The sequence below is a fragment of the Homo sapiens genome, chromosome 13 (genome assembly GCF_000001405.40).
Source record: "Homo sapiens chromosome 13, GRCh38.p14 Primary Assembly".
NCBI lineage: Eukaryota > Metazoa > Chordata > Mammalia > Primates > Hominidae > Homo > Homo sapiens.
In genome coordinates, this window is record NC_000013.11 from 74,473,762 (window position 1) to 74,483,748 (window position 9,987).

Genomic DNA, 9,987 nt, shown 5'->3' on the forward strand with positions numbered 1-9,987 from the left:
TACCTATTTTCACCAAAATATATGTACAAAGATGTTCATGTTGGCAATATTTAAAATGGCCAAAAGCAGAACTTGTCAAATGTCTACCAACAGTGGAAGAGATAAATAAATTGTTTATTAGTAATTATTAATTTATTTATTATTAATTAATTCCCTCAACAGGATGCTCTATGGAGATGAGAATTAATAAACAGAAACTGTATGCCACTACATGGATAACTCTCACAAATATGATGAGAGACAAATAAACAAATTTAAAAAGCCAGACACAGAGTCCATAGTGTATACTATTATTTATTTCAGGTTCAAAATCAGGCAAAACTAATCTGTAATGTAGGAAGTCAAGATGGTGTTTACTCCTGGTTGAGGTGGAGAAGTTACTGGAAGGATGAGGAAAAAAGCTTCTGGGTGTTCTGTTTCTTGATCTGATCGGTGGTTACCTGGATGTATTTAATTTGTTAGAATTCAGAACACTGTGCAAATACAATTTGCGTACATTTATACATAGAGATTATACTTTAATGCAATTAAAAACATCAATTCTACTATCTTATGGTTACATGCCAGACAAAATAATTAGAAGGCACAGTTTAAACTCTTAAGGAATTTCATAAATCCAAGTAAGAAAAATGACATTCATGACATGATATTATTTGAATGTCAAAGAAGCAATAATTATAATGAAAATAATATACCAGAACTGAAATGAGGAAGCAAATTTAAGGAAAAGCAAATGAGATTAAAATAATTTCTAGGATAAGCCCTTTCTTTACTTTTGTTTTGGATGCAGTGTTTGGAAAAGACATGCAATGTTATATTTTAAAGTAACATATATCTTTTAATTTCAAAAAAGTGGTAATTTTTGCAAAATAAAATTTGTGTGAGAATTCTAAGGAGGTAAAACAAGTTACAGAAAATCTTGAAGCAGACTTAATTAACAAACAATAAAAAAGTGTTAAAAGGATATCTGCCTAGCAAGTGAAGGATTCATGAAGGTGAAAAAAGTCAATGACTCCATGACATTCTATTAATCTCCTATGAGTGAGTGAAATTTGTCCTTCCTTAATGACTTTTTCCAATCTACTATAGTTGGCCCTCTGTATCTGTGGGTTCTGCATCCATGGATTCAACCAACTGCAGATAAAAATATATGGAAAAAACTCACAACAATAAATAATACAAATAAAAAGCAATATAGTATAACAACTATTTACATAATATTAGGTATTATAAGTAATCTAGAGATGATTTAAAGAATATGAAAGGAGGTACACAGGTTATATACAAATACGATACCATTTTATATAAGGGACTTGAGCATCCTTGGATTTTGGTATCCTGCAGGGTGGGGGTAAGGGGTCCTGGAATCAATCTCCCATGGATATCAAGGAAAAACTGCACTTTTCTACCTGCCTTTTTTTTTTTCTTAGTCCAAGTAAACCTATCTAGTGGAGTTGAAATGAGGATTTTGTAACCCAAATACTGATTAATTATTATAATTGCCATGGGTTCAACAGAAATGATCTCAAAATGCAAAAATCATCATCTCTTTCAGCAACAAATTATAGCACTTCTGAGTGACCTGACGTTTTTAACTGCATGGTAAAATTAGGGATACAAAATGTAGACACCAGCCATAGCTTGTGTGATATACTCTGATTTCAAGGCAGCTTTTTGCAACTCATGGTCTCTTTTATGGAAAATTAAAAGAAAAAACTGTTTTTCTACTCACTGCACTTCTGACACAAGACATGTGGGTTTTCCAAACTAAGCAATTCTCCGGTTCTCTGTGGACACGAAGAGGGTGTCCTATAGTTTAATTCAATTCTAATACCAATTGCCTGAAATTAGTGCAGACCCCTGAGATGAAGGAATCAGGCCCATAAGACTGTCCCCCCAGTTCAGATATCAATCTCAGTTAGTGGATCCCCGTGTTATCCACACTTCTATCTTACTTGTCTACAAATCAGGGGTTCTTACAAGCCCCTCTTCTTATTCAATAATTTGCTATAAAGGGTCACAGAATTCAGGGAAACACTTTACTTATGTTTACTAGTTTATTTTAAAGAATATCATAAAGGATACAAATGAACAGACAAAGAGATAAATAGTGCAAAGTATAGGGAAGGGGTGTGGAACTTCCATATCCAATCTGGGTAGTCCCCCCTCTCAGCGTCCCAATGTGCTCGTCAACCTAGAAGCTTTCTGAGTTCCACTGTCTAAAGTTTTTAATAAGGTTTCATTATGTGGGCATGACTGATTACATCATTGGCCATTGAATCTCTAGCCCCTTTTCATTGGTTGGGTTAAGCTGAAAGATCTAACCCTGCAATCATGCTTTGTTTTTTCTAGTGACTGGCTGCCATCCTGAAGCTATCTAGGGATGTTATCTAGTCATTTCATTAGCGTACAAAGGACATTCGTCACTTTGGAGATTCCTAAGGTTTTAAAAGCTCCTGTGTCTGGAATCAGGGTCAAAGACCAAATATTAGAACAAAAGATGCTCTTAGCACCCCATCACTCAGGAAATTACAAGGATTTTAGGAGCTCTGTATCCGGAACTGAGGGAAGAGACCAAATATATATTTCCTATTATGTCATAAATATCTATTTCTCAAAACAGAGGTTGAGTCTCTTCTGTGGAGCATCTAAAGGTTGGAAAATCTCTTCTTATCCTTTCCTTGTAAAAAATCGCCTTTGTGGGGTCTGAGGCAATAATGATCCTCTTAGCAGGCCTCATTCAGGCCACTTGAGAGATTCTAATGCATTGAGAGGATTCATAAAATAGTTTCTCAGAAGTAAGATTACATGTTTATTTTGTGCATACACCCAGAAGTTTTGCAATAAGTGCATTTTTATAATTCTAATAGATTTCCAGGGTACTGCCTATTCTTTTTTCTATGCTAATAGCAAGAGGCTGTTGAGATGGGAGCAATTTTTTAAAAATTCTGAATATAAGCAATGTAAATATCACTGCCAATTTGTGAATCTGCCAAACCTTCCAATTGCCTTATTTCAAAATTTATTTATTTATTAAAATCTGTTAAATAAAAACAACAATGACCTCTAGTTTATCTTTCCCTATTTTGTGCAGCCAATTTTAACTGAGAAATTCAGATGCCACTATTACTTAGATCATAGGGAAAAAAAGATAGTGGCATTAGGGTAATTCATTTTAAAAATGCAGTGGAACATTATTTGGAGGTGTGGTTCTTTTACTTCCTGCTGTCTGAGGCACTCAATCTTATTTTCAAGGACTCTACCTTTCCAGTGAAGAACAGAAGAGCAGTATTTAGACTTAAGCTTAAAAGAAATACCATAAAAGGAAATGAGCAAACTTTAAGTTCTATCTTTAATGGTGTATTATAGAGAAATTCCTCAAATCAAGTATTGCTCTTGAAGAGAGAAGTCTCTCTGGTTCTATGACTATTATTATCCCACTATGTGGGATTACTAAACCCATCCAACTCAAGTTGCTTGTTTCAAACACCTCTTTCCCTTGTATTTTCAAGGTGCATTATATATGTATTCAGATATAATCAAGGATATTGCCCTGTGTGTTCTGTTTTTAGGGTTCCAATCTTGGTACCTAACATAAAGACCTACAAAGAGTGCAAAGCAGACGGGTAGCTTTTGAGTGCCTATCTCAGTCACACATCACTACTTCCGCTTTTAATTTCCCTATCTCTTGCAAATTCTTCAAGTTAACTTTATTTTTGTTCCACATTTTTCCCATACTTACTTGACTTTCTCCTCTCATTTTCTTCTGAAAACTTCAAGCCTTATTTTTTATCTTAAATCATGACTGTTTCTTTTTCTCTGTCCTTTAGCTGAGACTATATATATTTTAGTACGTGAATGTTGTATTTGCATCACAGTTAAACCATTTAACACCAAGTGCAATAAAATTTTAGGGGACCAAATACTATGTTCTCTTCTGTGGAAATACCATAATTCCTTTATCTGAATCAGAGTCTGTAGTGGGAAGCTGCTATTGTATCATATTGCTACGGAATTACTAAAGGTTACCACCAATCAAGAACTCATGGATAACTTTACTACTATATATATCACTAGACTTAGCTACTTGGTAGTTGTTGGGAAAAGGAAAACTACTTCAAGATTGTTTTGGAGAAACAGTCATTATTCCTGAAACTGGATGTCACATGAGCTTTCTTCAATTCTCATGAGCAGGTATACCATTTGGCATTTTAAACTTTCTTTTTCACCTATGTTGCATCCCTATAAATGAAGCATACTTTTTGATAAAACATATGAAAAACAGAGGTAGTCATTTAGCCTTTAGAGAAGTAAGAGATCTAAGAGATATGAGTTCCTTTTAGCACTGGGACCAAGAGAAGTGAAAGGAGTTTCTCAAGGCAAGTTATTGATAGAATAAGAACTGAAACACAACTTGACTGAATCCACTGGGCTTTTTACTGTTCTACTATATGTCCAGAGTCAGATGTAGATGACCGCATTTACTGCCAGGGTCTGTGATTTTCATTACATTACGTGGGGGAAGAAACAATGAAGTTTCAATAACCAAAGTGTTGGCGCAGCTCAGAGTTGGCTCCTGCAGCCATTTCTAGCTGTCTGCAAAGAGGAAGCTGCATGCAAGCTGGCACTGAGGAATGAATGTTAGCCAGCATTCTAGGATTCAACAGGAAGACCACATTAAAACAATGGAAGATAAAGGGTGACTTATTACATTAGTCAAGGTTCTCTAGAGAGACAGATCTGTATGTGTGTGTGTGTGTGTGTGTGTGTTTGTGTGTGTGTATTATGTATGAAGAGATTTATCATGAGGTATTGGATTACATGCATATGGAGGCTTAGATGTTCCACAGTCTGCTCTCTGCAAGCTGGTGACCCAGGAAAGCTAGTGATGGAGCTTGAAACTCTCAAGCCAGAGAACCAATGGTATAGATTCCAGTCTGTGTCTGAAGGCCTGACAACTAGGAGCACCAAGGGCAGAAGAGGATTGATGTTCTAGCTTAAGCAGACAGGCAGGGAGTAAATTCAACCTTCTTCCATCTTTTTCTTCTATTCAGATCTTCATCAGATTGGGTGGTGGCTATCTACATTAGAGAGGACAATCTGCTTTAGTCTACCAATGAAAATGTGAATCTCTTCCAGAAACACTCTTACAGACACTTCCAGAAATTATGTTTAAGAAGCTATCTGGGCATCCTATGGCTCAGTCAAGTTGACATGTGAAATTAACCATCATACACAGGGACAGCAGTTTTAATACCTGGGTAACTATTAGTCCATTTTCACGCTGCTGATAAAGACATACCCAAGACTGGGCAATTTACAAAAGAAAGAGGTTTTATGGACTTACAGTTCCACATGGCTGGGGAGTCCTCACAATCATGGCAGAAGGCAAGGAGGGACAAGTCACATCTTATGTGGATGGTGACAGGAAAAGAGACAGAGGGCTCGTTCAGGGAAACTCCACCTTATAATACTGTCAAATCTCATGAGACTTATTATCATGAGAACAGCATAAGAAAGACCTGTCTCTGTGATTCAATTACCTCCCACTGGGTGCCTGTCACAACGTGTGGGAATTCAAGATAAGATTTGGGTGGGGACACAGCCAAACCATATCAGTAACCTTTGGTGAGAATGGGGAAAGAACTAGATAAGATATGGATAAAGTAAGAGTAATTTCTTTCTAGGCAGGGCAGCAATGGTTACATGGTAATTTTATTCTAAAGAACATTCACAATCTTGTCTGAAACTATTTCTCAAGCCTTATCTCTACATTTTCTGCATGACCCCATTTTCCTCCTGCAGCATTGGTTTCAGCTAGGCTAACTGGCCATCCCTCATTGTGCCATACATCTACTTATTCATTTTTTAATATTTTCATTTCTTTATATACAGGCAGTCCTTGACTTTCAACATTTCACTATGTGTGAATTCAGTTACTATGGTTTAGTTACATGACACCAGTCATCCAGCAACTCAATTCAAAATTTAGTTACAAGGGTATATTAACTATAATAATCATATAAAGCACAAACTTTGCTGCTAGCTCTTCAGTGCAAAAATCACTACTGAAATAATATATGCACATCATGACTGGTGACCAATCATATTGCTTCCTTCAAAATATGTTGGTAATTGGTCCTTACGCATCTGTTACTCAGTTCATGCACAGACAGCAAGTTGTGTTGCTTCCCAATGATAGCCCCATGTGATATTTTAGAAATAAAGATAATTGAAAGAGAAAATTGGTCAACAATGATGAAAGTGTAGCAAAAAAAGAAAACTCATAATGCTAAAAGTGAAATTTGAATTGGACATAAATGGAGTTATAGGAGAAATAGTTGCCTGTAGGAATGTTGATACTGCCACTGTTTGAAAGACTCCAGATGTGCAGCCAGAGAAACTTAGTGAAGGTGAATTTATTGACATAAATGAGGAAAGTGGTTGTGATGAAAGGATGAAGATGTCCCAGTAGAAGTGTGACATTGGCAAAAAAACTTCACATTAAAAAATTCTTGGGATATTTCTTGACTCTGAAAGCATAAAAGGTTAAGTGTTGGAAGCTGATTTCCCTTAGAAGGGAATGTGATGAGAAGAAGGAAATGAGAAGACAGAAAACAGTGTTCAAACTACTCTTAAGGTTTTTTTTTACAATAATATGAGACACTTTAATTCTCAAAGTTTCCAATATTTAAAATTTCAGTGGACTAAAGAAATATTGATTTTACCATTTTTCATTCTCTTGTTTGTTTAGAACTAACAGTAAGACAGTTTTAATGTTTTGAGAAAAAATGTAAAGCTCATAGAAAAATTGTAGTTTTTGTTTTGTTTTGTTTTGATTATTAAGATTGTTTTTCATAATTTCAGCATGCAGTCATTTTCATGGCCCTACACTATTGTGCAAAGCAAGGACTGCTTATAGATAGCATTTTGTGTGCACCTCCATCATAGTGTCATGTTTGATTGTCATTATTTATATGTGTCTGTCTCCCACATGAGACCATTGAGCTTTTGTGGAATAGGAACAACGTCATTTCTACATTTCCCCCAAATGCCTTCTATAGCAACTGGCATATAGCATGCCTGCAACAGTTTTGATGATTGAAAGAAAATATAACTTCTATTTAATCTCAGGAATTTTACATAGGAAGCATATTGAACAACATATACTTTCTACATTTGTGTGTATTTGTGTTCAGAATCGTTAAAGAACAGGAGGACTAAGTGATAACTTTGAGAATTTTTACCTTTATAGACAAAAGATATTTATGTCAATCTGTTTAGTGTTGCTATAACAAAATACCCATGGCAGGTTAATTCATAAAGAAAAAAGGTATATTTGGCTCATGATTCTGGTGCCTGGAAAGTTCAAGACCAGGAAGCCCATCTGATGAGGGTCTTGTGCTGTTTCAACTCATGATGTGTGCAAAGAGACCAAAGGCAAGAAGAAACAACCTGCTTTTTTGGTAACTAATCCAGTCCACAAGAGTAAGGACTCACTCCTGAGAGATGGCATTAATCTATTCATGAGGGCTTTTTCCCCCATGACTCAAACACTTCCCACTAGGCCCCATGTCCTAACACTGCCACATAGGGGATCAAAATTTAACATAAGTTTTGATGGGGACAAATCTCATCCAAACCATAGCTATATATAAACCCCATCCCTCAGAAAAAAAAGACTGACAAATACCCACTATTAGTAGTTAATTCTTGTGATTATTGAACAAAGAATGCCCTAATAACAATTTATAGATGAAACTTTTGACTTCAAACTATGAGGAGGAGAAAAAATTTCCTTATTAGGGTTTGTTTGATGAATAAACATCAAAATAAGCACATTCATAGACATAGAGTATATCTAAAACACACTGGATCCAAAGTAGATTTCTATTCTTGGTTATTACTATGTAGTCACTTTTTCTAGTAAGTGGGATTATAGTAGATCTAGAATGCTATGGTATCTCACCTGAAATTAATTGTTGGTAAAATGGCAAAAATGGTTGGTGTCTTGCCTTTTATGTAGTCTATTCTCTTTCTCTGCATCTCAAACATCAGATCAGTTGTTGAAAGTCATTAGGGAACGTGGATTAGTTGAAAGCAAAAGAGATTTTGCAGCCTGAGGGTTGTTTTGTATTGCTTGTAAGCCAGTGATTCTTAAACTTTCTTCTGAAGTATCACTGAAGTATCATTGACGTGCTGTCTTACCATGCATGACTGGCACATAGCTCATATCACAGGCAGCTAACCATGTGAATTCAACCACACCAAACTGATCCATATCCTATTTAACAAGATGAGTGCATTGGTCACACACACTTGGATATTGGAGCATGTCAAAGTGCTATAAAAGTTTCTAGGAGCTTACTTTCAAATTCTGTACTGATCTTGCATTGCACCAATATGTGGTCCATATTTTGAACGGTGCTGCTTTATTCTTTATTTATTCTATAAATTCAGCATTTTGAGCTTCTTGATTATCAAAGACTTTCACCTTCTCCCTTCATCAGCTATTCATTCTCATGATCATGTCCTGTATCATGCTGAGCACAAAGCAGGTGTTTAAAAAATGTCTATTAGCTGAATAAATAATAAATTTATAAATTTATAAATAAATAACAAATTAATAAATAATGAAGAAATTACAGAATAAAAGAAGAGTAGCTATGAAGAGAATAGGAATTCAAAAAGTGAGAAGTGAGAGGCAATGAGGGGAGCCTATGCTTAGGTCAAGGCTCTACGTAAGTGTTGCTGGAGGTGGCATTTTACATTGGGGGTGGATGCTCAGCTACAACCCTATTTGAAATACATCAAGTAACATATGTAATTTTGATTCAGCTAGAATAAAGTTGAGCTCAATATTTCTATAAATCTGTCTTTCAAGATTAATTTCACAGCCTTTAAATATCTGTCAACCAGGACTCTTCTGACTCCATGTCATGGAGACTCTTAGAGACTCTGAGAGTTTTTTATTGTGACTTCTGAGTAGTGTGATAAAATCTTATGCTGTCCCACTTTGTGGGATACACTGAACGGAAGGACGATTTATGTCCTGGGCAGACGTACAGGATGTAAATCATCCCTTTGTCCCATGTGTCAACACTGTCTGTCCTATCCACTACCCAACACTGTCTGTCCTACCCATCCCTTAGTTATGTAGCAGTCATGTTGGTTATTATATCAACAGATCACAAGAAGAAAGGTAAGTACAGCACAGTAAGATATTTTGGAAGAACCAGAGAGAGAGAGAGAGAGAGAAACTACAGTCACATAACCTTTATTACAGTGTACTATGATGATTGTTCTATTTTGTTATTATTGTTGCTAATCTCTTATTGTACCTAATTTATAAATTAAAGTTAATCATAGATACGTATGTATAGATAAAAACAGTATATGTAGGTTTCTAAAAACAGTATATGTAGGTATTAGCTGTGATTTCAAGCATCTACTGGAGATCTTAAAATATATCTCCACAGATAAGGGGAAAATACTATATATAATCTATATATTATGTATATCTGTATCCACATTAAAGTTAGAGGAGAATTAAATTATCAATGAATAAAGAAGTAAATATTTTAACCAGTATCAGTAATTTGCACATACAACTAGGATAATGAATTATAGGATAATGAGCAAAGGAAACATAAAATGCTTAATGGCCCTGGTACTCACGGCTGTAAAATTCTACTCTGAGTCATGTTTAATTGAAACATATGCTTTCCAACAGTTTTCACGTTGCTTTAAAAAGTTAACCTGACAATTTTTTACCTAAAGAAAAGATGGATCAACACATAACAATACATATGTAGAGAGCCTTTTAAATGTAAAATATTGCAGTAGATGAATATAAAGTAAATAGTCCAAGTTTGGGTTTTTTGAAGAATTTTTGTAATGATCTTGCATTAAAAGAACACTTTGTTGGTAATATCTCTGTGCAAACTCTATTTTCAGTATTCAAGTCATATTTATTTTACTCCTGTT

At 35.2% G+C, this 9,987-nt stretch overlaps 1 long non-coding RNA gene across 1 annotated transcript; it reads right to left on the bottom strand.

Annotated features, from left to right (window-relative positions):
• Positions 1-278: 278 nt before the first annotated feature.
• Positions 279-5,378, bottom strand: LOC107987191 (uncharacterized). The gene is made up of 2 exons (XR_001750033.1): positions 5,348-5,378; positions 279-440 (listed from the first exon to the last, which is right to left on the bottom strand). It is a non-coding gene; the product is annotated as an uncharacterized LOC107987191 (long non-coding RNA).
• Positions 5,379-9,987: the final 4,609 nt, after the last annotated feature.